General features: G+C 55.5%; 1 protein-coding gene across 4 annotated transcripts, besides 9 other annotated features; it reads right to left on the reverse strand.

Annotated features, from left to right (window-relative positions):
- On the reverse strand, nt 1,019-22,044 carry PRX (periaxin). Of its 4 annotated transcripts, none has more exons than NM_001411127.1 (7): nt 21,955-22,044; nt 15,595-15,638; nt 15,413-15,511; nt 15,161-15,286; nt 10,961-11,117; nt 5,875-6,071; nt 1,023-5,225 (listed from the first exon to the last, which is right to left on the reverse strand). In NM_001411127.1, exons 1-7 carry the CDS (start codon nt 21,995-21,997, stop codon nt 1,221-1,223), a joined length of 4,671 nt encoding a protein of 1,556 aa, NP_001398056.1. In that variant the 5' UTR covers nt 21,998-22,044; the 3' UTR covers nt 1,023-1,220. The 4 variants fall into 4 exon arrangements, with proteins under 4 accessions (NP_066007.1, NP_001398056.1, NP_870998.2 ...); NM_181882.3 differs by lacking the exon at nt 21,955-22,044 and adding an exon at nt 20,593-20,633; NM_020956.2 differs by lacking the exon at nt 21,955-22,044 and adding an exon at nt 20,593-20,619 and having other exon boundaries at nt 1,019-6,071.
- Nucleotides 10,775-10,944: a silencer, noted in NCBI's record as "silent region_10621". NCBI's record gives its function as "represses an Ori minimal core promoter by ATAC-STARR-seq in GM12878 lymphoblastoid cells {active_cell/tissue: GM12878}" and the evidence as "EXISTENCE:reporter gene assay evidence [ECO:0000049][PMID:35858748]".
- Nucleotides 10,985-11,204: an enhancer, noted in NCBI's record as "active region_14650". NCBI's record gives its function as "activates an Ori minimal core promoter by ATAC-STARR-seq in GM12878 lymphoblastoid cells {active_cell/tissue: GM12878}" and the evidence as "EXISTENCE:reporter gene assay evidence [ECO:0000049][PMID:35858748]".
- Nucleotides 11,855-11,904: a silencer, noted in NCBI's record as "silent region_10622". NCBI's record gives its function as "represses an Ori minimal core promoter by ATAC-STARR-seq in GM12878 lymphoblastoid cells {active_cell/tissue: GM12878}" and the evidence as "EXISTENCE:reporter gene assay evidence [ECO:0000049][PMID:35858748]".
- Nucleotides 15,385-15,514: an enhancer, noted in NCBI's record as "active region_14651". NCBI's record gives its function as "activates an Ori minimal core promoter by ATAC-STARR-seq in GM12878 lymphoblastoid cells {active_cell/tissue: GM12878}" and the evidence as "EXISTENCE:reporter gene assay evidence [ECO:0000049][PMID:35858748]".
- Nucleotides 16,741-17,334: an enhancer, noted in NCBI's record as "H3K27ac-H3K4me1 hESC enhancer chr19:40915393-40915986 (GRCh37/hg19 assembly coordinates)". NCBI's record gives its function as "activates a minimal SCP1, AML or CMV promoter by ChIP-STARR-seq in primed H9 embryonic stem cells {active_cell/tissue: H9 hESC(primed)}" and the evidence as "EXISTENCE:reporter gene assay evidence [ECO:0000049][PMID:30033119]".
- Nucleotides 17,253-17,422: an enhancer, noted in NCBI's record as "active region_14652". NCBI's record gives its function as "activates an Ori minimal core promoter by ATAC-STARR-seq in GM12878 lymphoblastoid cells {active_cell/tissue: GM12878}" and the evidence as "EXISTENCE:reporter gene assay evidence [ECO:0000049][PMID:35858748]".
- Nucleotides 17,253-17,926: a biological region, named in NCBI's record as "H3K27ac-H3K4me1 hESC enhancer GRCh37_chr19:40915987-40916578".
- Nucleotides 17,335-17,926: an enhancer, noted in NCBI's record as "H3K27ac-H3K4me1 hESC enhancer chr19:40915987-40916578 (GRCh37/hg19 assembly coordinates)". NCBI's record gives its function as "activates a minimal SCP1, AML or CMV promoter by ChIP-STARR-seq in primed H9 embryonic stem cells {active_cell/tissue: H9 hESC(primed)}" and the evidence as "EXISTENCE:reporter gene assay evidence [ECO:0000049][PMID:30033119]".
- Nucleotides 21,443-22,091: an enhancer, noted in NCBI's record as "H3K27ac-H3K4me1 hESC enhancer chr19:40920095-40920743 (GRCh37/hg19 assembly coordinates)". NCBI's record gives its function as "activates a minimal SCP1, AML or CMV promoter by ChIP-STARR-seq in naive H9 embryonic stem cells {active_cell/tissue: H9 hESC(naive)}" and the evidence as "EXISTENCE:reporter gene assay evidence [ECO:0000049][PMID:30033119]".

Below are 27,698 nucleotides of genomic sequence, written 5' to 3' on the forward strand. Positions count from 1 at the left end.
TGGGGGGCTGTCGGGGCGAGACTTGGGACTGGATATTGAGTCTCCTTAGTCCAGTGTGGGACATCACAGAGAGACATGGAGGAGGCTGGAGGCCCTGCTGGGAGCCTCAGGACTTAGATCCTGAATTGGGATGGCAGGGATGGATGGCCCATGGCCCCTGGGAGCTGAGACCAGCACTGACAGGTGCTGAGGACCCTGGGACCTAGTTCCAAGAGGCGGCTGTGTTTCTGGGGTAGAGGCTTTGAGGGGACCAGGAGCAGCCTTCCTGGGTGGGGCCAGAGTGGACAGGGCAGTCAAACCAGCCAGACAGGAAAGAGAAGGCCAGGATGTGCAGAAGTGCCCTCACCGGCAGAGGGCAGGTGGGGAGCAACCAGCCTGGTAGGAGTGGGTCCCCCAGGACAGGCAGGCTTCCTGGCAGAGGGGTCCCGAAGCTGTGCTCTGCCAGGGAACATCCCAGAGTCCTCTTTAACAACCCCTGGGAATTCTCAAGGGCTAGGGACGTCTCCCTTCCCACCACGGCCTGTCCCAAGGCCATCCTGAGTCTTTGTTTTTGTTTTTGTTGAAACAGTCTGGCTCTGTTGCCTAGGCTGGAGTGCAGGGGCACCATCAAGGCTCACTGCAGCCTCGACCTCCCGGGCTCAAGTGATCCTCCCACCTCAGCCCCCCGAGTAGCTGGGATTACAGGCACGGGCCACCATGCCTGGATATTTTTTGTATTTTTTGTAGGGATGAGGTTTCCCTATGTTTCCCAGGCTGGTCTTAAACTCCTGGGCTCAAGCAGTCCTCCTGCTTTGGCCTCCCAAGTGCTGGGCTTACAGGCATGAGCCACTGCGCCCAACCCGCCCTGACTCTTCTCAGACCAGGTATGACCGGTTTCTCCCCTCACACCAGAGGTTCCCCTCAGGCCAGGCTCAGGCGACCCCTAGAACCTCCTCTTTGGAGACTGCCTTCTCTGCATCTCCCCTATACCCACTCCTGCCCCTCCCTGCCCCCTATGCACACAGAGGAGACAAATACATGGCTACTTCCAGATTATTTTATTCACATGGCTTGGTGGGGTACAGGCACTCCTGCCAGAGAGACAGGAGCAGGCCTCCCTGCCAGCCCTGGTCAGTCACCCACCTCCCGGCCCTCTTAGGGTTAGTGCTAGTTATCACACACACAACAGCGAGGGGGTAGAGAAAGGAAGGCAAGAAGGGATCCCCATCTGACTAGGGGCTTCAGACAGCCGCAGCCTGAGCCCCCTCCATCCTGGCCGGGCCTGGAGCCCCTGTCTCTGAAAACCCCACGCTGGGCAGCCGCACCCGCAATCCACCCTCTTCCTGGTCCCCACTCCCACTCCGGGCCTTGGGGCTTAGGGACACCCTGGGGAAGCGGAACTTGGGTGACTTCTCTCTGACGGGGGACTTGGGGGCTGCATCGCCCTCCTGCCCCCGAGAGGCTTTAGAAGGGGCCGCCAGGCCTACACGTGGCAAGCGGACCCGGACCCGGCCCCGGCGACCCGAGGCCCCTTCCCCACTGCCCTCTTCCTCCTCCTCCTCCTCCTCCTCGGGGCTGGGGGACCCTTCCCCAGTGACCATCTCACTTTGGCTGAAGCCCACTCGGGGCAGCCTGAGTTTGGGGCTCTTGGCCTTCTCACCCTCCTCGGCCCCCTCCTTGGCCCGCACCAGGCCAAACCGGGGCAGCCGTACCTTGAGCTTGTGTCCGGCCTCTCCCTCCCCCTCTGCCACCTGGTACTCGGCATGGTTGCCCCCGGATGGCGAGAGCTCCACGTCGGGCAGTGAGAGGCAGAAGGTACGCTCGGCCCCTGGGGGCTGCTCCTCAGCACCCTCGCCCCCCACCCTAGCTCTGGCCCCCAGTGTGGGCAACTTCAGCCTCAGCCCACCCTCGCCTGTGGCCGCCTCGCCCGCCTGTGCCTCTCGGCTTAGCCCCACGTCCAGCTCAAGCTGGGGCACTGTCACGGTGGGCATCTTAAAGACACCCTCACCCACCAGCAGCTCACCACCTGCAACCTGGGCTCCAGGCAGAGACAGGGTCACCTGGGGCACCTGAACCCTGTAGCCTGCTGTGCCCTCTGCTGAAGGGACTGTACTCTGAGCCTGCTGCCCTGGGGTACCTGCCTCCCCAAAGCCGGTCAGCTCCACCTGTGGCAGGGAGATGCCCAGCGGAGGCATCCTCAGCCCCGCGTCATGGCCCTCAGTGACCACCTGCCCGGCTGTGGACACCTTCAGGCCTGACAGCTGCATTCCACTGACGGCCACAGCCCCCTCTGCCCTCCCTTCCTCCTGGGCGCCCAGCGTGACCAGCTCCACCTCGGGGATCTTAAGCTGCACAGCGGTGGACTCAGCCTTTTCCCCCGGGCTGGCACGATCACCTTGAACTTCTGCTTCCTTCCCTCGAGCCAGCCCAAAGGAAGGCATCTTCAGCTTGGGCATCTTCACCCTCCCATCCCAGCCCCAGCCCTTGCCCTCCAACTCAGCCACCCCTGGCACTAGTTCTGCTGCCTCAGTGTCCCGGCCTCTGACCCCAAACTTGGGGAGAGCAAACCTGGGCCCCTTGAACTTGAGGTCGGCCCCTGCCACCTCTACCTTGCCTGAGGGCAGGTGGGCATCCAGGCTGAGCTGTGGGATGGACAGATCGAGGGCAGGCAGCAGGCCTGCCTCCCCAGCCCCTTTGGCCTCAGCCTCAGCCCCCACCCGAGCCTTGGGGAGTGAGATGGCAAATTTGGATACCTTCAGCTTGGTAGCTCGCCCAGCCCCCTCAGCCTCTGCCTTAGCCACCTTTGGCCCCGAGAGTCCAAACTTAGGTAAGGAGAACTTGGAAGAGGGCTTGACTTTTGTCTCTATCATCTCCAGCCGCCCTTCCTCAATTTCCACGGCGGGCAGCTGTGGGGTGACAATTTCAACAGAGGGCACTCGGAAGCCCACTTCCCTGACCCCTGCTGCCACCTCAGGGCCCTCCACCCGCTCTCCCTTGCCCATTTTAGCGGCTGGGACCTGCCCCTGCAGGCCAAGTGCTCCTGGCAGGTCTAGCTCCACTGAAGGCAGAGTGAGAGAGGGGACACCCACATGAGCCTCACCATCCACCTCTGGCTGCAGACAGGGAAGTGTTACCAGCTTCCCTGAGACCTCAGCACCCGCCTCGCCTGGCTTGCCACGTGATGGGGACTCTGCCCTCCCTAGCTTGGGCATGGTCATCTTGGGCATCTTGAAGCCAAATTCCATCCCTTCTGCCTGTTCTGCCTTGGTGGCCTTTAGCTGCACCTCCGGAGCCCTGGGCAGCTTCACCTCTGGTGCCTTCGGAAGATGCACGTCGGGAACCTTCGGCACTTGCATTTCCGGCAGCCGAATCTCTGACACTTTCGGCAGCTGCACCTCGGGGAGGTGCACATCGGGCACAGCCATCTCAGGCACCTTGGGGAGTTTTATCTCTGGGAGCTTCATGTCAGGGACTTTCATTTCACAGACTTTGGGCAGCTGCACCTCTGGGAGGTGCACATCGGGCACGGCCATTTCAGGCACCTTGGGGAGTTTCATCTCTGAGACTTTTGGCAGCTGCACCTCGGGGAGTCGAACCTCTGGCACAGCCATCTCAGGCATTTTAGGGAGTTTCATCTCTGGGACTTTCGGGAGCTGCACTTCCGGGAGGTGCACATCGGGCACAGCCATCTCGGGCACCTTCGGGAGTTTCACCTCAGGGAGTTTCATCTCAGGGAGCTTCATCTCTGGGACTTTTGGAAGCTGCACTTCTGGGAGGTGCACATCGGGCACGGCCATCTCGGGCACCTTCGGGAGTTGCACTTCAGGGAGTTTCATCTCAGGAAGTTTCATCTCAGGCACCTTTGGAAGCTTCATCTCAGGGACTTTCATCTCTGGCACTTTCGGCAGCTGCACCTCTGGAAGCCGCACCTCTGGCACAGCCACCTCTGACACCTCTGGGAGTTTCATCTCTGACACTTTCGGCAGCTGTACCTCTGGAAGCCGCACCTCCGGCACAGCCATCTCTGGCACCTTTGGGAGTTTCATCTCCGACACTTTCAGCAGCTGTACCTCTGGAAGCCGCACCTCCGGCACAGCCATCTCTGGCACCTTTGGGAGTTTCATCTCTGACACTTTGGGCAGCTCTACCTCTGGAAGCCGCACCTCCGGCACAGCCATCTCTGGCACCTTTGGGAGTTTCATCTCTGACACCTTGGGGAGCTCCACCTCTGGGAGTCGAACCTCTGGAAGGGCTGCCTCGGGCACTTTTGGAAGCTTGACCTCAGGAGCCTTGGGGAGCTTCACTTCAGGTCCCTTGGGCACCTTGACCTCGGGCCCTGACACTCCGATGCCAAGGGAGGGCATCTTGATGGTGGGCAGCTTCAGCTTGCTCTCTACAACTTCAGGAGCAGCGGGCCGGGGCTCCAAGAGGGAAAGCCCAAAGGTGGGCATTCGAAGTCTGGGACCTTTCACCCTGGCCTCAGGGCTGACCTTGGCTACCTTGGCCTCAGCAACTTCCTTTGCTCGAGCCCCAAATCGGGGAAAACTAAGGCGGGGCATCTTCAGGGCCACCTCAGGTGCCTCTCCCCGGGCCTCCACCTCTGCACCCGGCAAGGCCAGGTCCACCCCCACAGTCGGTGCTGCCACATCCAGGGTGGGCACCACTACCGACACAGCCCCTTCCCGGGTCTCTAGGCAGGGAAGTGTGGGCAGAGTGGGCAGTGAGGGCAAGGCAGGCAGCTCCACCTGGGGGACCTGGATTCCCACGGCTGGGGCCTCCACAGCAGGCGGAGCCGGGGCTCCGAGCCCAAGGGTTGGCAGGTGGAGGGCAAAGCCACCAGCTGCCTCTGCTGAGGGGGCAGCCTTGGGGGCTGAGACCTGGGGGACACCCACCTCCGCCCCTGGCAGCCGCGGCCCAACCAGCTCCACCTGAGGGGCTGTGAAACGAGCTCCTGCAGCCACCTCAGCCTCCACCTTGGCTTTCCTGGGGGGAGGAGCGGCGGCGGCCAGCCGGGCTGCCTGAGCCTCTTCGGCCACTTCTCGTACACGCAGCCGAGGCAGCTGGAGGCGCCGGCGGGCAGGGGCAGCCGGGACAGGACCCTTGACAGCCTCGGCTTTGAGGCCCCGACGCAGGCGGGAGAACTTGGGAAAGGAGAACTCGACGTCAACAGGGGCCAGGTCAGCGGGGACCCCCAGAGCCCCAGGCACCATCTTCTTCTTCTTCACAGGGGACAGACTCTGGATGTTCTGGGGAGAGAGGAGAGAGGCAGGAGGCGGTGGGACAGTGGGAGGCTGGGAGTGGACAGGAAGAGCCCCACCTGGTATTGGACCAGGCGGGGGATGTGCTGGGTCAAGTATCTTGTTCCCCAAACATCATCCCCACTTCTTGCCTGTCATTTCACCATGAGTGCCCAGGAAAGCAGGCAGCCATCTAGGATCTCCAAATGAGTCAACAGGAGTGTAGGGACGGGGACCCAAGACTTCTAGATCCTGATCCGGGATTTTCCCCAACATCCTCATTCTAGAGATGGGGAAACTGAGGCCCAGGGAGAGAAACAACTTTGTCCAGGGCCACTCAGCAGTAATTGGGCCAGCACTCAGGCTGGAATCTGGCTTTCCTGGTTCGAAGTAGCCTGGTTCAGGACCCCTAGCAAGCCTGGATCCGATGGTGGGGACGCCTCTCCGAGGTGGGTGAGGGCCCTGGGCTGGGGTGGGTCTGTCCCCCTTCCCGGGGAAGAGTTTGGGGCAGAGAGGAAGGGGCAGAGGGTGGAATTAGCTTGGGTTAGTGACAAGACAGAGGGCAAGGCTGGCCCACGATGGCGGGGAATGGGGCTCACGGCGCAGAGACCGGATCGCTGGGGCAGTCCAGGGCCGGGGCCGGGCTAAGCACGCGTACCAGCTTGGCCACCTTGGCCCGCGGGCCCTTGATCTCGTAGCCAGACACGGTCCCGGGCCGCAGAGCCAGGTCCCCGGTGGGCACAGTGCGCTTCAGGCAGAAGGAGACTTTGTAAGGCTCGGCGCATTGCAGCAGGCGTAGTGCGTCCTCGTACTTGAAGTTCTCGAAGAACACTCGGGCACTCAGCAGCTGGTCCCCTGCGGGCGAGGTGGAGGTGCGCAGCACGTGGGCATCTCCCGGCTCCGCCCGGGCCTAGTTCTGCCCACTTGCACGGAGCCCTCGCGGTGAGGACCCGCCCCAAATTTTAGTTTCTCCAATCCCCAGCGCAGGATTAAGTCGCAGTTACGCTAGTCCCCGCCCCATGACCTTATCCCCGCCCCCTGCAATGAACAAAGCCGCGCCCACTCAGGCCACGCCCGCACCTTGTCGCTCCCCTACCCATCCTTACGTTTCAGATACTGACTTTGCTTCTTTTACCGAGAGAACAGAATCAGAAGGGAACTTCCAGAATCTCCCACACTGTGTGTTCACCCCCTTTCTCCTGCGGCGACTTACTCCATTCGCCTTCCTGTTCCTGGGGATGAACTAACCCCACTCCTAGCTCAGGGCAATCTCTCCACCGCCTTCTCAGGGACATCCTCCAGCAATTCTCTCCTCTTCCCACGTCATCAGTTGTCCTTCTCGTCTACATTATTCCCATCAGCATACAAACATATTATTATTTCTCGCATAAGAAAGGTTGTCATGGCCTCACTCCCCCGGAGCTCCTGCCCCATTTATCTGTTCACCTTAATAGGCAAAAGGTATTGAGTTCTCCAGTGGCATTGTTACCAGTTCTCCAGTCACACCTCTGACCCTGCTTTCCAACACGCACATCTGAACTGCTCCTCTCAAGGTTCCAGGCAGTGACCTCTGTATAGTAAGTCCAAGGGTCAAGTCCCAGGCCTCATCTGCTTAAACCACTCAGCATCTGATCTAACCTCACTCTCTGTCATATCCTTGCTTCCCTTGGCTTCCAAGGTGCTACACCCTCTGGAGCGTCTCTGGGAGTTCCTTGTCAGTCTCCATAGATGTTTGCTTTCCCTCTCCCTGATTTCTTTCTTTCTTTTCTAAACAGTCTCACTATGTTGCCCAGTCCAATCTCAAATTCCTAGGCTCAACTGATCCTCCCACCCCAGCCTCCCAAAATGCTGATATTACAGGCGTGAGCCACTACACCCAGCTTTCTTTCCTTTCTTTCTTTCTTTCTTTCTTTCTTTCTTTCTTTCTTTCTTTCTTTCTTTCTTTTTCTTTCTTTCTTTCTTTCACCCAGCTTTCTTTCCTTTCTTTCTCTTTCTTTCTTTCTGTCTGTCTGTCTTTCTTTTCTTTTCTTTTCTTTTTTAGATGGAGTTTTGCTCTTGTTGCCCAGGCTGGAGTGCAATGGCGCGATCTTGGCTCACTGCAACCTCTGCCTCCCGGGTTCAAGCGACCCTCCTGCCTCAGCCTCCTGAGTAGCTGGGACCACAGGCATGCACCACCACACCCAGCTAATTTTGTATTTTTAGTAGAGACGGGGTTTCTCCATGTTGGTCAGGCTGGTCTCGAACTCCCGACGTCAGGTGATCTGCCCGCCTTGGCCTCCTAAAGTGCTGGCATTACAGGCGTGAGCCACCGTGCCCAGCCCCTCCTCTTTTTTTTTTAAGACAAGATCTCGCCAGGTGCGGTGGCTCATGCCTGTAATCCCAGCACTTTGGGAGGCCGAGGCAGGTGGATCACCTGAGGTCGGGAGTTCGAGACCAGCCTGACCAATATGGAGAAACCCTGTCTCTACTAAAAATACAAAATTGGCCAGGCATGTTGGCACATGTCTGTAATCCCAGCTACTAGGGAGGCCGAGGCAGGAGAATCACTTGAACCCGGGAGGCGGAGGTTGCGGTGAGCTGAGATCGTGCCATTGCACTCCAGCCTGGGCAACAAGAGCGAAATTCCATCTCAAAAAAAAAAAAAAAAAAAAAAAAAAGACAAGATCTCACTCTTCACCCAGGCTGTGGTACACTGGTGCAATGACAAATCACTGCAGCCTTGAACTTCCAGGCTCCAGCGATCCTCCTGCAAATGCAGGCCCGTGCCACCACACCCAGCCTCTCTGGCCTCTTAAAGACACACTACCCCAGACCTCAGGACTTGGACCTCCTCTCTGTCTACATGCTCAAGTCACCCCTTGGGAATTCTTGGGAAGTTCATCCAGATTGAGAAGTTAAAAGACCATAAATCTGCTAACAATTCCCAAGTATATCTCTCCAGTCCAGCACTCTCCCCTCCACCCTAGACTCACATCCAACATCTCCATCATATCTCCACCTGGGTGTCCCACACCACACCTCTCCTTTAACAGATCCAAACTGTACTCCTGGTCTTTCTTAGTACTAGCCTCAGTGTGCTCCTTTTGAGGGACCAGCAACTCCATCCTCAGGTCAAAAATCCCCAGATCCATCCTGGACAACCCTCTTTCCATCATACCCAATATCCAGTCCTCAAAGCTCCTCCTTCAAAATATATTCAGAATCCAAATATATATATACCTCCAAAACCCTTTGGTCCTGAGCATCCTCATCTCTTACCTGGATAATCACAGTAGCCAGTTTGTTGATCTCCCTGCTCCTAAACCTGCCTTCATATATTCTACTGTTTGTTGTTGTTGGCCTTGTTTTTGAAACAGAATCTTGCTCTGTTGCCCAAGCTGGAGTGCAGTGGTGTGATCATGGCTCATTGCAGCTTCAGTCTCCTGGGCTCAAGCGATCCTCCCGCCTTGGCTTCCCCGAGTGCTGGGATTACAGGTGTGAGCCACCCAATGCTTGGCCATACTCTACTGTTAATGCAGCAGTTCAGCACAGTCAATTCACGTTTCTCCCTGCTCACAGCCCTCACAGAATAAAAGCCAAAGTCTTATAAAGCCCTCTAAAAAGTGTCCTCCCCTTACCTCTCTGGCCTTCTCTCTTACTCTCCTCTTCACTAACTCAATTGCGTAGACACTGGCTTCCTCACTGTTTCTACCACAAGCTAGGCATGGTCCCACCTTGGGGCATTTTTGCTGTCTGTTCCCTCTTCCAGATGGCCTCATAGCTTGTTCCCTTACCTCCTTTAGCCTTTTCACCCTTTCCAGCCCACCCCTTTTTTTTTTTTTTTTTAGGCGGAGTTTTGCTCTTTCGCCCAGGCTGGAGTGAAGTGGCGCGAACTCGGCTTACTGCAACCTTAAGCAATTCTCCTGCCTCAGTCTCCTGAGTAGCTGGGATTATAGGCGCCTACCACCACACCCGGCTAATTTTTGAATTTTTAGTAGAGACAGAGTTTCGCCATATTGGCCAGGCTGGCCTCGAACTCCTGACCTCAGGTGATCAGCCCACCTCAGCCTCCCAAAGTGCTAGGATTATGCACCCAGCCAAGCCCACCCCCATTTAAAAATGCAGCTGTAGGCCGGCCTCGGTGGCTCACGCCTGTAATCCCAGCACTTTGGGAGGCCGAGGAGGGCGGATCACGAGGTCAGAAGATGGAGACCATCCTGGCTAACACGGTGAAACCCCGTCTCTACTAAAAATACAAAAAAAATTAGCCGGGCATGGTGGCGGGTGCCTGTAGTCCCAGTTACTAGGGAGGCTGAGGCAGGAGAATGGCGTGAACACGGGAGGCGGAGCTTGCAGTGAGCCGAGATCGTGCCACTGCACTCCAGCCTGGGAGACAGAGCAAGACTCCGTCTCAAAATAAATAAATAAATAAAATAAAATAAAATAATAAAAATGCAGCTGTAGCACATTGTCCTCCTGGCAACTGTAGCACTTACTGCTTTCTAATTTACTAGGTATTTTACTTAATTTGCTTAAATATGTCTCTCCCGGCTGGGCGCGGTGGCTCACACCTGTAATCCCAGCACTTTGGGAGGCCGAGGCGGGCAGATCACGAGGTCAGGAGATCGAGACCATCCTGGCTAACACGGTGAAACCTCGTCTCTACTAAAAATACAAAAAATTAGCCGGGCGTGGTTGTGGGCGCCTGTAGTCCCTCCCAGCTACTAGGGAGGCTGAGGCAGGAGAATGGTGTGAACCCGGGAGGCGGAGCTTGCAGTGAGCCGAGATTGCGCCACTGCACTCCAGCCTGGGCAACAGAGCGAGACTCCGTCTCAAAAAAAAAAAAAAATCTCTCCCCACTGGAATGTAAGCTCCATAAGTGCAGGGACTGTTGTTCAGTTTTGTTCACGGCTGAAGCCCAAGCAGCTAAGATAATGTCTGACATAGGGTGGGGCACGGTGGCTCACGCCTGTAATCCCAGCACTTTGGGAGACTGAGGCGGATGGATCACCTGAGGTCGGGAGTTCGATACCAGCCTGGCCAACATAGTGAAACCCCGTCTCTACTAAAAATACAAAAATTAGCCGGGCGTGGTGGAGGGGACCTGTAATCCCAGCTACTCAGGAGGCTGAGGCAGGAGAATCGCTTGAACCAGGGAGGCGGAGGTGGCAGTGAGCCGAGATCGTGCCATTGCACTCCAGCCTGGGCAACAAGAGAGAAACTCCGTATCAAAATACATAAATAAATAAAGTCTGAAATAGAAGGCACTAATAAATAGTTGTTGCATGAATAAATCACGTCAGCTTCATCCATATCCTAAAACATCCTTTACTCTTCCCAACCCCTCTAAGTGGCTCACTCCACCCTTTTCTCCTGCCCCAACAACAAAAACATTTACTAGCACTCACATAGTTAAGCACTATGTGCCACTTAGCTATGTGCTAAGTGTTTTCACATACTGACTCGTTAAATCCTCAATACATAATAACCCCATACTAGAATAAGTCCCATTTCAGAGATGAGAAAACTGAGGCACAGAAAGATCACAAGCTAGTAAACGGGGGATGTGAAATTCGCACCCAGACAGTGAACCTCCGGAATTTGCTGTGAACAGTCAGCAAAGCCCCGCCCCAAGCCCTTAACCCCTCCTGGTCGCCGGTCACGCCCCCATCCCCCGGTCAGTTTCAGCCTCTCTTTGGACCCAAGGCAGATTCCTAACCCCGCCCCCGCAGTTCGACCCCGCCCCACACCCCGGGCCCGCCCACCTTCCTGCAGGCTGAGGCTCCTGGCGGCGGGTGAGTCCTCGCGCAGCTCCCGAACGAAGATTCCCTCTTTGCCGCCGCCCGCTACGTTGATGCCGCTGACCCCGGTCTGCGCCTCCGTCTCCACGATAATTTCCACCAACTCCGCCCGCCTCAGCTCCTGCAGAGGGCGGCGAGGTGTCGCGTTGGGGCTCTAGGGCCGGACCTCGCCCAGAGCCCGCCATTGCGCTCAACAGTGGCTCATATACATATATATGTTTATATATATTTAGAGACGGGGGTGGGGGACGGTCTCGCCACACTGCCCAGGCTGGTCTCGAACTCCTCCTGGGCCCAAGGGATCCTCCCGCCTCGGCCTCCCAAAGTGCTGGGATTACAGGCGTGAGCCACCGCGCCCGGCCAAAAGCGGCTGTTCAGCGGGCCTTCAGGGCACACGCCCCTCGGCGCTGCCCTCGCAGGACGTCGGGGCACACCCACTCCGGCGTCTCCCCTTTAAGCAAGCCTGAGGGCAGCTGGCTTTCTAGGACCCGCGGAACGGTTAAACAGCTCCGCGGGCCGGCTGGCCTCTCCGAGGCCCTGGAGCGGCAGCCGAAAGGGGTTAGGGGAGGAGACGGGGTTGTAAGGGGAGGGACTGCGTCGGAGTGGGCTGGAGATAACTTGAGTTGTGATTGAGAGGCGGGACCAGGATCGTGGGGGCGTGGTCAGGTCGGGAGGGCGGGGCTGGGGGGGGTTGGTGCGGGTAGGAGGGGTAAGACAACACAGGCCTGAGAGGAAGAGCCAAATGGGGTATAGAAGGGTGCAAAAGATAGGAGAGGAATGTGGCCAGAGTTTATGGGAGGTTATTTGGAGCTGGGGCGGAGACCCTTATTATTTTTTTGTTGGGGGAGACAGGGTCTCTCACTCTGTCCCCAGGCTTGAGTGCAGTGGTGTGATCATGGCTCACTGCAGCCTCCACCTCCTTAAACTCAAGCAGACCTTCCGCTCCGGTCTCCCAAGTAGTTGGGAACATAGGCACGCGCCACCACGCCCAGCTAATTTTTAATTTTTTTTTTAAGAGACAGGGGTATCACTGTGTTGCCCAGGCTGGTCTCAAACTCCTGGCCTCAAGAGATCCTCCTGTCTCAGCCTCCCAAAGCACTGGGATTACAGGCATGAGCCACTGCATCTGGCCCGGAGACCCATATTCTACAAACTGAATTTAACTATGGGGGAGGGGCTTTAATTACAGCAGAACAAGAGAATAGTTGAGGATGGGATTCTGAGGAAGGGGCTGGCTGGACCTTCAAGCCCTCTGGGATTGGGGGGACAGGGAGTGGGATTTGCCTCCCTGCAGGCTTGAATGTGTGTGAGAATGTGCTCTATTGTAAATTCAATGACCCGAAGACCTGTGAAACGCCCACAGGAGAGGGAATCCAGTGAAGGGGGTCTGCGTGGGTAATGAATGGGACTGGGAGACATGGCATTCCCGGTATTTACTGTAAATGATGCAGATTGGACCTGGCCCAGAAGCCACTATGGGATTCACAATAGGGCTTCCCAGAAGAGGCAGTGACAAACCTGGATCCTGTCTAGGAATCCAATCTGCTGTGTGTCTTAGGAAGAATCTTGCCCTCTCTGGACCCACTTCCCTGCTGCAAAATAGGGTAACATAGGCATACTGGAAGGAGGTTGCAGTAGGGATCTGAGAGGACACTGTCATGGCCAACGCACTGGGGCCAGCACGGACTGGAATTGAGCCCAGGACTTGGAGGGAGAGCAGGTCTAGGCCAGATGCCCCACAGCAGTGGCCCCAAGGGACTAGGGGGCTGAGCAGGGCAGTCTGGGTAAGGAGAGTTGTGGCTGGGACTGTAGGGAACAGCATGACCACCAGTACCGCCCTTTGGCTCAGCAGGCCCTGGGCTCAGCATTTTATGTGCAGAATCTCTTTTTTTTTTTTTTTTTTTTTTTTTTTTTTGAGGCGGAGTCTCGCTCTGTCACCCAGGCTGGGAGTGCAGTGGCACAATCTTGGCTCACTGCAACCTCCACCTCCCGGGTCAAGCGATTCTCCTGCCTCAGCCTCCCGAGTAGCTGGGATTACAGGTGCACGCCACCACGCCCAGCTAATTTTTGTATTCTTAGTAGAGATAGAGTTTCACCATGTTGGCCAGGATGGTCTCGATCTCTTGACTTCATGATCCACCCGCCTCAGCTTCCCAGAGTGCTGAGATGACAGGCATGAGCCACCGCGCCCGGCCTCTTTTTTTTTTTTAAGAGTCGGAGTCAGGCCAGGCGCGGTAGCTCACACCTATAATCCCAGCACTTTGGGAGGCCAAGGCGGGAGGATCACCTGAGGTCAGGAGTTCAAGACCAGCCTGGCCAACATGGCGAAACTCCATCTCTACTAAAAGTCCTAAAATTAGCCAGGCGTGGTGGTGGGCGCCTGTAATCCCAGCTACTCGGGAGACTGAGGCAGGAGAATTGCTTGAACCTGGGAGGCGGAGGTTGCAGTGAGCTGAGATCGCACCACTGCACTCCAGCCTGGGTGACAAGACCAAGAATCCGTCTCAAAAAAAAAAAAAAAAAGAGTCGGAGTCTTGTTTTGCCCAGGCTGGTCTCCAGCTCCTGGGCTCAAGGGATCCTCTGGCCTCAGCCTCCCAGAGTGTTGGGATTACAGGTGTGAGCCATCGAATGCAGTCTGCAGGATCTCATTTCATCCTCTCCCTATAGCCTTGGGCAGTCACAGAGGAGGACACTAAGGCCCAGAGAGGTAAAGTGACTTGCCTAATGCCCTGTAGCAAGTTAAGCGGCTGGGCCTCAACCTTAGGTCTGTGACCCCAGAACTCATAGGCCATCCTGTGGGCAGAGAACTCCTGGCGCTGTACCCACTGCCTCTCGCCCCCAGTAGCAGCTTGGCCCCTGTAACAGTAGACCCGCTCTGTGCCTGGTATACAGTAAGACATGGTCAATGCCAATCCACCATCTCAGTAACAGTGACAGCAGCTGTCATTCAAAGAGGCTTCCTCAGCACCAGACTCTGTGCAAATGGCTCAAGCGGGAGTTCTCAGAGGTGGAGATCATTACCTCCATTTCTTTTTTTTTTTTTTTTTTTTGAGACAGAGTCTCACTGTGACCCTCAGGCTGGCATGCAATGGTGTGATCTCGGCTCACTGCCACCTCCGCTTCCTGGGTTCAAGCAATTCTTCTGCCTCAGCCTCCCGAGTAGCTGGGACTACAGGTGTGCACCATCATGCCCGGCTAATTTTTGTATTTTTAGCAGAGATGGGGTTTCACCGTATTGGCCAGGCTGGTCCCGAACTCCTAACCTCAAGTGATCCGCCCGCCTTGGCCTCCCGAAGTGCTGGGATTATAGGTGTGAGCCACTGCGCCCAGCCCCATTACCTCCATTTCAGTGGGAAACTGAGGCTGAAAGAGGTGAGATCATCTGCCCAGGGCCACACAGCTGAAGTGGTAGGGTTGGGATTTGAGCCATGGGTCCAAGCCCATGTCCTTAACTCCTACATTATATGCCCTTGTGTGTGTGTGTGTGTGTGTGTGTGTGTGTGTGTGTGTGTTTAGACAGGGTCTTTTTTTTTTTTTCTTTGTTTTTCTCATTTATTCTTTCCACACAGGAGACTTAATGAGACAGGATCTTGCTCTTTCACCCAGGCTGGCGTGCAGTGGTTCAATCATATCTCACTGCAACCTCAACCTCCTGGGTTCAGGTGATCCTCCCACCTCAGCCTCCTGAGTAGCTGGGACTACAGGAATGCACCACCAAACCCGGCTCATTTTTTTTTCCGGTAGAGACAGGGTCTTCCTATGTTGCCCAGGCTTGTCTCAAACTCCTAGGCTTTAGCGATCCTCCTGCCTCGGCCTCCCAAAGTGCTGGAATTCCAGGCCTGCGCCACTGCACCTGGCATATGCTGCCTCTTCTGATGAAGGGTTTCTGCCGGATTTTCTTCAGCTCCTTATTAATTTAGCTCCTTTGTGCGCCAGTGATTTCACTGCCTTGAGTCTTAGCCTGTGCCAGATGCTGCACTAAGGACATTACATATGTTAATTTTCTTCTCCTCACAGTGACCCATAAAATAGACCCTGTTATTATTTCCATTTCACAGATGGAGAGAATGAGGCACAGAGAGGCCAGAAAGTGTCTCCTTGCTGCCCTAGTCTGTGCCTCCCCATTGCCCTCAAGTGCGCCTTGCAGGACACGTGGGCACTCACCTCGGCACTCCGGCTCCTGGCCTCCATGGCGTTGCTGGGAGGCACCTGCACCCCAGGCTCCTGTGTCCTCTCCCCTTTCTGCTGCAGAACCAGCTTCAGTTCTGCATGGAGCAGCTGCCTCTGAGCCTGTGGGAGGACAGCAGTGGAGGCTTGAGGCCAGTAGGGGACGAGAGGTGGAGGCCATGCTTACAGGGAGAAAGCAGGGTGGGTATTAGAAGGGGAGAAGGGCCCCCACCCCAGCTGTCCTCTCACCGCTGCCTGGGTGCAGGCACTTCCTCCTAACAGGAGCCCAGCCCGAGGTGCCGCACAGCTGTCTGCAGGGCTCACGCCCTTCCGTGGGGTTCTTGCTGCCTGCCAGGGAAAGGCCAGGATGTGAAGCTCCAGGCAGGCGAGGAAGGGGTGGGGAGGGGCATATGGCACCAGCCTGCGCTCACCTGAGGGTCACCTCCAGCTCCTTGGGCCTCCTGGGTCCGGCGCTCTAAGAAGAATAATGTGAGCAGTGTTATTGGCTAACAGCCACCGATGACTTCCTGAGTGCCTGACCCTGCTGCGTTCTGCTGATACCCTATCCCCGTCGTGCAGGTGGGAAACTGAGCCTCAGAAGACCTTTACCCAGGATGACTCAGCTGGACAACACACGGTAAAGCCAAAACTGACTCCGAGGCCTGTCTGGCAGCAGAGCCCCCGTGCCAAAGATCTTGGCCAACTGAGGGGGCCAAATTCACTAAAAAATAATTGCTATTTGAGACAGGGTCTAGCTCTATTGCCCAGGCTGGAGTGCAGTGGTGCAATCACGGCACACTGCTGCCTCGGTCTCTGGGCTCAGGCGATCCTCCCACCTTGGCCTCCCGAGTAGCTGGGACCACAGGTGCATGCCACAACACCCGGCTACGTTTTTGTTGTTGTTGGTGGTGTGTGTGTGTGTGTGTGTGTGTGTGTGTGAGAGAGAGAGTTTTGCTCTGTCACCTAGGCTGGAGTGCAATGGCGCGATCTTGGCTCACTGCAGCCTCCAACTCCTGGGTTCAAGTGATTCTCCCGCCTCAGCCTCCCGAGTAGTTGGGACTACAGGCACGCACCTTGGGACTACAGGTACGCACCGCCATACCCGGCTATTTCTTGTATTTTTAGTAGAGACGGAGTTTCACCATGCTGGCCAGGCTGGTCTTGAACTCCTGACTGCAAGTGATCAGCCCACCTTGGCCTCCCAAAGTGCTGGAATTACAGGCATGAGCCTCCACACCTGGCAACACCAGGTTAATTTTTTAAATTAATTTGTAGAGATGGAGTCTCCCTAGGTTGCCCAAACTGAGCTCCAACTCCTGGGCTCATGCTATCCTCCTGCCTCAGCCTCTTGATGCTATAAAATAATTATAGCCACTCCCATGTACTCCCAGTGAGCAAATCACAGCTCCTCTCTGTGCTTCAGTTATGTTGTCTATAAAATGTGGAGAATAAGAGCTTTTACCTCGCAGGGCTGTTCCGAGGCTCAAATGAGTTAATAAGTGTAAAGTGCCAGGCACCTGGCAGGTGCTTTATAAATACTTGCTATTATTATTATTATTATTATTATTATTATTATTATTTTGAGACAGAGTCTCGCTCTGTTGTCCAAGCTGGAGTGAAGTGGTGCGAATTCGGCTTACTACAACCTCTGCCTCCTGGGTTCAAGTGATTCTCCTGCCTCAGCCTCCCAAGTAGCTGGGATTACAGGTGCCCACCACCACGCCTGGCTACTTTTTGTATTTTTAGTAGAGATGGGGTTTCACCATGTTGGCAGGCTGGTCTGGAACTCCTGACCTCAGGTGATCCACCTGCCTCAGCCTCCCAAAGTGCTGGGATTACAGGCATGAGCCACTGCACCTGTCAGGCCATTATTATTACTAAGAACTTCCTATGGCCCTGACCTTGTGTCGAGCGCCCCACATGCTCCACTGCACATGGCCCTCAGCACAGCCTTGTGCAATCAGCTACTACTGAGCCCATTACAGAGGAGACACCTGAGGCTGGGGGAAGGGATGTCACTAGCCCAGGTCACAAATGGTCGAGCCAGGACTTGAATTTGTCTGAAGGCTCCAGCCCTTTATCTGGGTAGTAATAATACCTGATGGGTACTGAGTGATTAGTATTTGCTGGCCCCCGTGCTAAGACCTTCACCTTCTACTTCACCTCGGAAAACCCCATTTCCTGAGAGGCCAAAAGAACTTGCTCAAGGCCTCATAGCACAGCCAGAAGGAGGCAAAGCTGAAATTCACATGCAGCCACCCGCCAGGCCCATCTGGGGAAATGGAGATGAATACTCTCTCCCCCAACCCCCGACTCTGGGCTTGTCCTCACAGCCCCCACCTGGCATGCCAACCCGCCAACCCCTATTGCACAGGGAAAGGTCAGGCCTCACGCGGCACATTCCCTCACACAATGGCCCGTCTGCTGTGCTCAGTTGCATTCCGCCCCTGCCCACCCACCCTGGCCACACAATGGCCTTTCATAGCCCATCAGTGGCCAGGAGAGAGGACATGGGGACCCCTTAACACTCCCACAGCACCCACGCCCCCCACAGTGTAAGAGGGCTTCTCTCTGCATCTCCTAGGGGGTCCTGGTCTCTGTGGCCTTCCCTGGGATCCCCTGTGAGCCCCCTACACCTTCCAGGCTGTGCCAGGACTTGAACTTGTCTAAAAACTCCAGCACGGGCTGGGCGCGTGGCTTAGGCCTGTAATCCCAACACTTTAGGAGGCCGAGGTGGGTGGATCACGAGGTCAGGGGTTCGAGACCAGTCTGGCCAATATGGTGAAACCCCGTTTCTACTAAAAATACTAAAATTAGCCAGGCGTGGCAGCGCGCGCCTGTAATCCCAGCTACTCGGGAGGCTGAGGCAGGAGAATCGCTTCAGCCTGGGAAGCGGAGGTTGTGGTGAGCTGAGAATGCACCACTGCACTCCAGCCTGTGCGATAGAGCGAGACTCCATCTCAAAAAAATAAAAATAAAAATAAAAAAAGCTCCAGCGCTTTAGCTGGACAATCATAATAACAACTGATGGGTATTGAGTGGTTAGTATTAATATTAGCTGGTCCCTGCACTAAGACCTTGTCTGCCATGTCTGGGGCATTTCCTCTGAATTGGGCCCTGTGCTAGCACCCACAGGCCTCAAAATCACCCTAGATGTTGTGGCTGTTATGGGGTGGAAACTGAGGCTCACAGAGGGGTCACCCAGCCAGAAAGGGGCAGAGCTAGGACCCGTGCCTGCCCTTCACCCCTGCTTCACCTTAATTTGCATTGGTGGCTCTGCGCACTGGGGCAGGAGCTGGGTTGGGCAGGAGGGGGCCAACGGTGCTAGAAACACACCCAGGCCAGGTGCCGGGCCTGGACCGGGCAGGCGCTTTACATACTTGACCTTGTGGGACCCCATTTAACTGATGAGTCAATGAGAGTTAAGAGACCGGTGATCACAGTGACAGAGTCGAGACTTGAGCCCAGGTGTGAAAGCGAACTCAGTTCCCTTACCCAGGACTGATACACAGCACAGAGTCCTGAGCTGGGGACACGAGAAGCCTGAACCTTGTAGGTGGTAGTAGAGGGGGTCTCCTGGGTCATCAGCTCTCTGTCCCAGGCCCGTGGCTGTGAGGGTCATGCCCGGAGCCTGGCACAGGAAGTTCAGGCGGGGCAGGGACAAGAGAGAGTGCCCTCCTTCTTCGTCCCTGCCTGGACAGGCACCCAGCCCAGGTTATATTTAGCCCAACTGTGCTCTTCCTGAGCCACGTACCCAGCCCCTGGGGTAAGGTGGGGGCAGCTTCGGAAGGAAACCCACAGAGAGGACTCTGTGTTCCCAGCTCTGCCTATCCCACTAGGCAGGGGAAAGAGGGGTGGGGAGGCTCCTGGGGAGGGTCCCTGCCTTGTGTTAGAGGCAGATCCACTGGGACCAGGCAGACACTCCAGATGCCAGCAGCCTATTTCTTGGGTAGTTACTGTGGCATGACCCTGGCATATGCCAGAACTTTCAGAATCCCCAGGGTCCCCATTTCTTGAGCACCTACTGTGTGCTAAGATCCTTCCTGTCTTGGCTCCTTAAATCTTTGTAACATCTCCCTGGAGTGGGTACAACTGAGATATCCATTTCAGATGCGACTTATGCCCTTCAGAGCAGCTGGGAGCGAGGGGTTGTCATTCGGAGGCTGCTGAGGGATCGGCTGAGGGCATTGCCCTTCTGGCCCTCTTTCCCTGGTGACTGCCACCAACTTCACTTGGGAACCCTGCCTGCTCAGAGCCTCAGCTTTCCCCCGCCACCAGCGTGATCTCTCATAGCAATGGGGGTCAGGGGTTGGGCTGACTCATCCAGACCTCTAAACATTATCTGAGGCCACCTAGGGGGTCAGGGGGAGTTAAGGCAGTGGCCTCTGGCTGCCTCGGTTAGTCCCTGCTCCAGCACTTCCCAGGTGTGAGGACTTGGGCAAGATCCTTCATCTCTGGGGCCTCAGTTTCTCCATCTGTAAAATGGAGCCAATAAGAAAGGCTTTGAAGATTTGTGAGAGAACAGCAGGTGCTTAGAATATCCCTCCTGTATAGTAAATGCTTGATTAATATAAACTCGTCTCTGACAGCAACAGGGAGAGTATGGAGGGAGGGAGCTGTGCTTCTCACAGTGTTGCACATCCAACCTTTGCTCCTCAGTGGCCCCCACTTTCTCTGCTACCAAAGGGGAGCTTTGGCTGAGAGACAAAACCCAGCTCAGGCACCAGCCTCCCAACAGGATCCATGCTGCCTCCCTAGCACCCTACTCCAGGGACCCACCCCAGGCCTCCTGCCCCAGCTCTGGTGTTTGTTAGTTTGTTTTTTGGAGACAGGGTCTCCCTCTGTCACTGAGACTGGAGTGCAGAGGTGTGATCACGGCTCACTGCAGCCCCAACCTCCTGGGCCCAACCCAATCTCCCATCTCAGCCTCCAGAGTAGCTGGAACCACAGGCATGCACCACCATGCCCAGCTAATTAAAAAAAATTTTTTTTTGTTTTGTAGAGATGGGGGCCTCTCTATGTGGCCCAGGCTGGTCTCGAACTCCTGGGCTTAAGCAGTCCTGCCGCCTCAGCCTCCCAAAGTGCTGGGATTATAGGCATGAGCCACCATGCCTGGCTGCCCTAGCTCTTTAAAAGCAGCAACTCATTTACTCGGCACCAGCCCTGTGAGGTGGCCTCCAGACATCAGCCCATTTTAGAGATGGGGAAACAGAGGCACAAAGGATGAAGTATCTTGCCCAAGGCTGCACAGCCAGAAAGGAGAGGAAAGGGGATTTGAACCACCAGCTCCAAAGTCTATACCTTTAACACCTACACCACACGGCTTCCTGAGCCCCCAGGCCCCCTCCCAGCACCTCCCGGGACCCTGAACCTCATTCCCACAGTGTCTCAGCCTGGCCAGGGAAGGGACCGGCCGGCTGATCTCTTACCGCTGAGCCTCCAGACACCTCGAGAGCTCCTGGTCCCGTCTGTCAGCCCTAGCCCTAGGCTGGGGGGGAAAAGGAATGGGGAGGGGGGAGGAGAGAGAGACCCCAGCCATTGGCTGCGGGGGTGTGACGTCACCAGAGGGTGGGTGGTGGAGAAACAAACATCCCCCTCCTCCAGCTACATCTATCCCCAAGGGGTGGGGGCCACGGGACAGCCACCAGCCGCCTCTCTCTTGCCTGGGCCGAGATCTCTGCCATGAGCTCAGCTTCAAGGATTTGCACGTTGGCTTCCTCGACTTGGAGAATCAGGACCCCACCCCAGCCCCACTGTTTCCTGGCTCCAGGACCCGGGCCTGGCCAACTGCCTCTACTGTAAACTCCTTTCACTCCCTCTCCCTGTCAACTTGGGTTCAAATCGCAGCGCGACCACTTCCTCGCTGGGTGACCTGCTGCCAGTCACAGCTTCTCTTTGCGGATAGTAAGAGTACCCACCTTATGGGGCTGTGGTGAAGATTAAACGAGTTAAAAGAGACTGAAAATGTAAGACAATGCCGGGCACATAATGAGGGTTACTAATAAGTATTTGGTATTATTTTTCACACAAATTAGGTGGCTGGCTCATCTTGCTGGGGGGTTTTGGCCCCTTTTCAGTAAGGCTGGGCACAGGGGACCCCCAGTTCTCTGTCTAATGGAGTTACTGTTTAGGGGGACACCTATCACATACTAAGTACCATGCTCAGTGCTGAAGCCCTGCTTTTGAATCAAGGGTGTAAAATGGGCTCCTTATGCTCCCCACCCTTTTTTTTGAGACAAGGTCTCACTCTGTTGCCCAGGCTGGAGTGCAGTGGTGTGATCATGGCTCACTGCAGCCTCCACCTCCTGGGCTCAAGCAATCCTCCCGACTGAGCCCCCTCAAATAGCTGGGACCACAGGTATGCATCATCATGCCCAGCTAATTTTTGTATTTTTTGTAATGGCAAAGTTTCACCATGTTGCCCAGGCTGGTCTCGAACTCCTGGGCTCAAGCGATCTTCCCACTTCGGCCTCCCAAAGTTCTGGGATTACAGGCGTGAGCCACCGCGTCCAGCTATGCCCAATTTATAGCTATGTGGCCAGGAGGTGGTGAAGCTGAGGTCCAACCCCTGTTCTCCTGGACCACAAAAACCCTGCTACACTCTTCTGCCCCTTCCACTTTGCAGACCAGAAGGCTCAGAGAAGGTAAGTGACTCTCCCAATATCACCATAGCAGGTCATTGGCAGGGGTCCAGAGTTGAACCCAGACCTGCCCGACTCCCAAGCCAAAGCTACCAGGCCTCACCCCCAACCCCTGGACCCTGGTCCAGCCCCCAGCCTGCCCTGACTCACCAGACCCCGGGGGGCGGCACAGGGAGCACAGGTACCCCCACATGCCACTTGAACCCACCCGGCTGCTGCCTCGGAAGCTCGTCGCTCTCTGAACCCAGGCCCCAGGCCTGGGCTGGGCTGAGGCTGGGGGATTACCCCCAAAGCGCATGTCAGCAGCTTCTGCCCCATTGTCCAGCCAGGCACAGACACCAAGCCCTGGCCTCTGTCGGCACCCTCGCCCCTCACACCAGCCTGGGTGGCCCCTCTGCAGACCTGTCCCCCATCTCACACCAGAGGGTTGGGGCCTACTTCAGAGGGCGTGGGGGACCAGGCCAGGATGGCAGGATCCCGGAATGCTGGGGGCCTCCCTCCCTTCTCTCTGAAATGCCCCCTGCCCACTCTCAGCCACCGGGGAAGGCAGGAATGTGCTGAGCTCTGGGAAATGCCTTCCAGGCCTGGCAGCAACCAAGCATTGGGGTGTGGCCAGAAGCCAGCCAGAGCCCTCCTCCCAGGAGGGGTAGAAGGGATGGTATGGTCGGGGCTCCCGATGGGCCTGAGGAGACCCTCACTTCATTGCAGTCTCTCTCCTTCATTGATTCACGCAAACATTCTTTTGTTCCTATATTCATTCAACAAACACTCACAAGCCCTGTTTAGTGGTAGGTCTTTTGCTGGGCACAGGGGACATCAACAGATCTAACTCCACCCCAGGGAGGAGGCGGCAAACTCAGGAAAGGATCCTGCAGGAGGTGATATCGGCAGTCAAACTGAATTAGCCAGGCGTGGTGGCGGGCACCTGTGATCCCAGCTACTCGGGAGGCTGAGCAGGAGAATTGCTTAAACCCAGGAGGCAGAGGTTACAGTGAGGCAAGATTGCGCCATTGCACTCCAGCCTGGGTGACAGAGCGAGACTCTGTCTCAAAAAGAAAATAATAATAAATAATAAAAGGAAGTCAAAATGGAAGATTGAGGAGGAGGGAGCTAAGGAAAAAAGGAGGGAAGGGGGTTCCAGGCAGAGGGACAAATGTGGGCAAAGGACCAGAGGTGAGAAATGGAGCGGGTCTTCATTCACCATCAGCAAACATTCAGTGAGCACCTGGTCTTCTGTCCAGTCCCAGGCTGGATGGTGCTGGGGACACAGTGTGACTGGGACAGCTCAGGCCTGCATCCACACCATTCACAGTCCAGCAGGGAACAAACCCAGAAAGAGGAGGGTTGTGATGGGGCAATCATAGGCAGAGAGGTCAAAGCCTTGATGGGGAAGTCCAGAAAAGGTGGCTGCCCCAGCCTAGGAAGAGAAATCAAGGAGGGCTTCCTGGAGGAAGTGGCATTTGAGCTTGCACCTGGAGGATATATAGAAGTTAACCCAAAGCCATGGGTGGTGAAGGAATGACAGTGTGTTTCAGGTAGCGGGAACACCCTGTGCAAAGGCCCTTTGAGAAAACGGTTAAGGTGAGAGTGTGAGGGAAAGGTAAGAGGAGGTCCAGGGGTCAGCAGGGCCATGAGGAGGGCCTCAGACTTTGTCCTGTGGGCCCTGAAGAGCTATCAGAGGGACAAAGTATGAATAGCACTGAGCTTTTAGGTACCTGAAGGCAGAAAGAGGCTGAGCTATCAGCCAGGCTAGCATAGGGAAGAAAATCCCCCTCTCTCTGCTCAGGGTCAAACAGAAAAGGGAGGCTGGTACACAACATCCCCTCTCTTCCCTTGTCGCAGAGAGCAGAGATCTTTGCTTGTTCTCAGTCTTAGGGGAAAGCATTTAACCTTTTGCCATAAAGTAGGAAGTTAGCGGTCCATGTTTTGTAGATACGCTTTATCAGGTTAAGGAAGCTTCTTTCCCTAGTTTGCTGTGAGTTTTTTGTTTTCTTGTTTTTGAGAGATGCGGGTCTCACTATGTTGCCCAGGCTGGCCTCAAACTCCTGGCCTCAAGCGATCCTCCTGCCTTGGCCTCCCAAAGTGCTGACATTACAGGCATGAGCCACTGTGCCTGGCCTGCTGTGAGTTATTTTCTTTCTTTTTTTTAATTTTTCTTTTGTTTTTTTTTTTTTAGGCAGAGTTTTCGCTCTTTCACCCAGGCTGGAGCAAAGTGGCACAATCTCGGCTCACTGCAACCTTCGCCCCCTGGGTTCAAGAGATTCTCCTGCCTCAGCCTCCCGAGTAGCTGGGATTACAGGCGCCTACCACCACACCCAGCTAATTTTTGTATTTTACACTTGATCTTAGCCAAAAGGCCAAGAAGCAATAATTTTGTATTTTTAGCAGAGATGGGGGTTTCGCCATGTTGGCCAGGCTGGTCTTGAACTCCTGACCTCAGGTAATCCACCCGCCTTGGCCTCTCAAACTGTTGCGGTTACAGGCATGAGTCACCACACCTGGACTGTTGTGAATTCTTATCACGAATGGTGTGTCTCTCTGTGTGTCTCTATCTTTGTGTCTCTCTGTTCTTCTGTTTCTCTCTGTCCTTATTCTTTGTCTCTCTTTCCTAGTTTCTTTCTGTCTCATTCTGTCTGTGCGTTTCTCTCTCCCTCTCTCTCTGTCATGCTTTCCCTCACCCAAGGGGGTGTGGCCACGGGAAGCTAAGTTGGGGGTGGCCCCAGTGTCCTGGTTCCGGCTGTGGCCACCGCAGTAAACACAGGACATCCTGTGAGGCTAGGGAAGGAGGTGGACGCTTCTTCTCAGGGACCACCCTCTCCAGACTCAGTCTGAGCCAAGCAGGAGCCTTGGCCTGCCCTGCGTGGCCTAGCCACTCCGCCCCACCCAGTCCAGCCAAGGGACACTGGTGTCTCCCTCGATCCCACCGTTCACGCCCACCCCCACACCCCAGTCCTCTCTCCTGAGCTCCCGGCCCAGGGCCCGGGCAGCTCCATGCCTTCCCCTGGGTGTCTCCCCAGCCTCTTGCACCCCCTGGGTCCCTCCTTGGCCTCAGCCCCAACCCCAGACTTGCTTCTCTCCCCAGTTGCCATCTCAGGGATGGCCCCAGTGTCTCCCAGTCCCCTGATTAGAGCCCTGAGCCTGGTCTGAGACCCCTCCTCCAGGCCTTGTCAGTCCCACAGCCTGTCTGCTGGGCCTCCTGAGTGCCTCTTCCCTCCCAACAGCTGCTCCGTCCCTCCCCAGATTCTCCACCCCTGGGATCCTGGGCTCCTGGCCTCCAGTGTCACCTCCCCGACGATGCCACCCACCTAGTGAAGGGATCCTTTTACTTCATGACTCCCCAGCATCTTCAGAGTTAAGTCCCCCATCCAGGGTCCTATATGCCCTGGCCCCTGCGGACCCTTCCAGTCTTGTCATTTACCTTACTGCTTTCCTCCTCCTTCCAGCCAAACCCAGCAGCTTAGAGATCCCTGAAAATGTTGTAGGGTCTCTCTCTCAGTGACCCTTGCTGTTTCCTTGCCCACCAGAACAATAGTTCTTTGGGGCAGATACTGTTACTGTTCCAGTTTACAGGTGAGGACCCCGAGGCTCAGAGAAGTTAAGTACCTTGCCTAGAGTCACACAGCCACAGAGCGGTAACTCTTTTTTCTTTTCTTTTCTTTTCTTTTCTTTTCTTTCTTCCTTTCTTTTCTTTCTTTCTTCCTTTCTTTCTTTTCTTTCTTCCTTTCTTTCTTTCCCTTCCTTCCTTTTTTCTTCTCTCTCTTTCCTTTCTTTCTTCCTTCCTTCCTCTCTCTCCCTTCCTTCCCTCCCTCCTTCCTTCCCTCCTGCCTTCCTTCCTTCCGTCCTTCCTTCTTTCTTTCTGACAGGGTCTTGTTCTGTCACCCAGGCTGGAGTGCAGTGGTGCAATCATGGCTCATTGCAGCCTCAAACTCCTGGCCTCAAGTGATCTTCTCACCTCAACCTCCTGAGTAGCTGGGACTACAGGCGTGAGCCGTCGCATCTGGCCAAAGCTGGGGTTCAAACCCAGGCAGTCTGGCTTTCAGGAACAGTCTCTTCTCTCCAGCTTACTGCTTCAATAATATCTCTGTTAGATTTCTAAAGTGTGCCGGGACTGCATACCATAGGTGCTCAATAAGTGTTTTTTAATTTTGTTTGGTTTGGTTTTTTTGAGATGGAGTCTCGCTCTGTCGCCAGGCTGGAGTGCAGCAGCACAATCTCGGCTCACTGCAACCTCCGCCTCCCGGGTTCAAGTGATTCTCCTGCCTCAGCCTCCTGAGTAGCTGGGATTACAGGCCCGCCACCTTGCCCAGATAATTTTTGTATTTTTAGTAGAAATGGGGTTTCACCATGTTGGCCAGGATGGTCTCAATCTCTTGACCTTGTGATCCACCTGCCTCGGCCTCCCAAAATGCTGGGATTACAGGCGTGAACCACCATGCCCGGCCACTCAATAAGTGTCTAATGAATAGGGACAGAGGTAGAAGGTGAGCCTTGGAAAGTACAGAATTCAGACCCCAGAGAAGTGGGGTAATAAGGGCCCAGGGGCAGGGGAGAGATGTGGTCAGATTTACCCTTTACATAGGGATAGGCACACAGTAGGTGTGTGCTCATAAATTTTTGCTGAATGAAGGACAGGAAGAAGGGAGGGAGGAAAAAGAGACAAGATAGCTGGTCACAGCTCTTCCAGGTGTGAGAGAGAGAGAGAGAGTGTGTGTGTGTGTGTGTGTGTGTGTGTGTGTTTTGGGGGTGGTCTGTGAATGCCATGGAGGAAAGCTGGCCTAGGGGGCGTCATGGCGAGCATACACAGAGGCTCTGTGAAAGGTGGCAGTTGTGCCAGGGCTGGCGGCTCAGCTAGGAATGGTGTGGGCCCTGGAGTCTGCTGGCCAAGGTGGTGTGGCCTCCTGGGGTTGAGCCTGAGGGTGGAGCAGCACACCAGAGCCAGGGAGCCTGCACAACCCATCTGGGGGTGACACATGGGGAGAGAGGGGCAGGTCCTCACACATGAGCCATTCATAAACCTGAGGGCACCGGGCAGACGGGACCAGGGCTGATGTAGCCCATATGGTGCTTTTGTGTAAAAGACATGCCCCTTCCTGGAGGTACTTGACCTCCATCTGCTGGGAAACTTGTAATAAATATGTAAATGCAGGGTACCTGGAACACCAGTGGCAGCCCCTTACATACGGAGCCTATATGCAGTGCACAACCTATGCAACTGTACCTAGAGGCTCTGGGGAGAGGGGCCATCAGTGGCAAAGCAGGCACAGGGGCAGACGGAAGGATCAGCTCACCCCATATTGGGCCTCGGAGACATCAGAAACAGGTCCTTAGCTGGGCACAGTGGTTTGTGCCTATAGTCCCAGCCACTCTGAGGGCTGAAGCCAGAGGATCCTTTGAGCCTAGGAGTTCAAGGCTGTACAGCACTATGATCACTCCTCTGTACAGACAGTGCTCTCCAGCCTGGACAACACAGTGAGACCCAATCTCTTTGAAAAAGCGGGGAAAGGAAAGAATAAGAAACAGGCCCACGGGAATCCCAGCACTTTGGGAGGCTGAGGTGGAAGGATTGCTTGAGCCTGGGGGTTCGAGACCAGCCTGGACAACATAGGGCAACACTGTCTCTACAAAAAATTTAAAAAATCGGCCGGGCATGGTGGCTCACGCCTGTAATCCCAGCACTTTGGGAGGCTGAGGCAGGGCGGATCACTTGATATCAGGAGTTCAAGACTAGCCTGGCGAACATGGTGAAACTCTGTCTCTACTAAAAATACAAAAAATTAGCCGGGCATGGTGGCAGGCGCCTGTAATCCCAGCTACTCGGGAGGCTGAGGCAGAATTGCTTGAACCCAGGAGGCAGGGGCTGCAGTGAGCCGAGATTGCACCATTGCACTCCAGCC

The sequence above is a fragment of the Homo sapiens genome, chromosome 19 (assembly GCF_000001405.40).
Source record: "Homo sapiens chromosome 19, GRCh38.p14 Primary Assembly".
In the NCBI taxonomy this organism is placed as follows: Eukaryota; Metazoa; Chordata; class Mammalia; order Primates; family Hominidae; genus Homo; species Homo sapiens.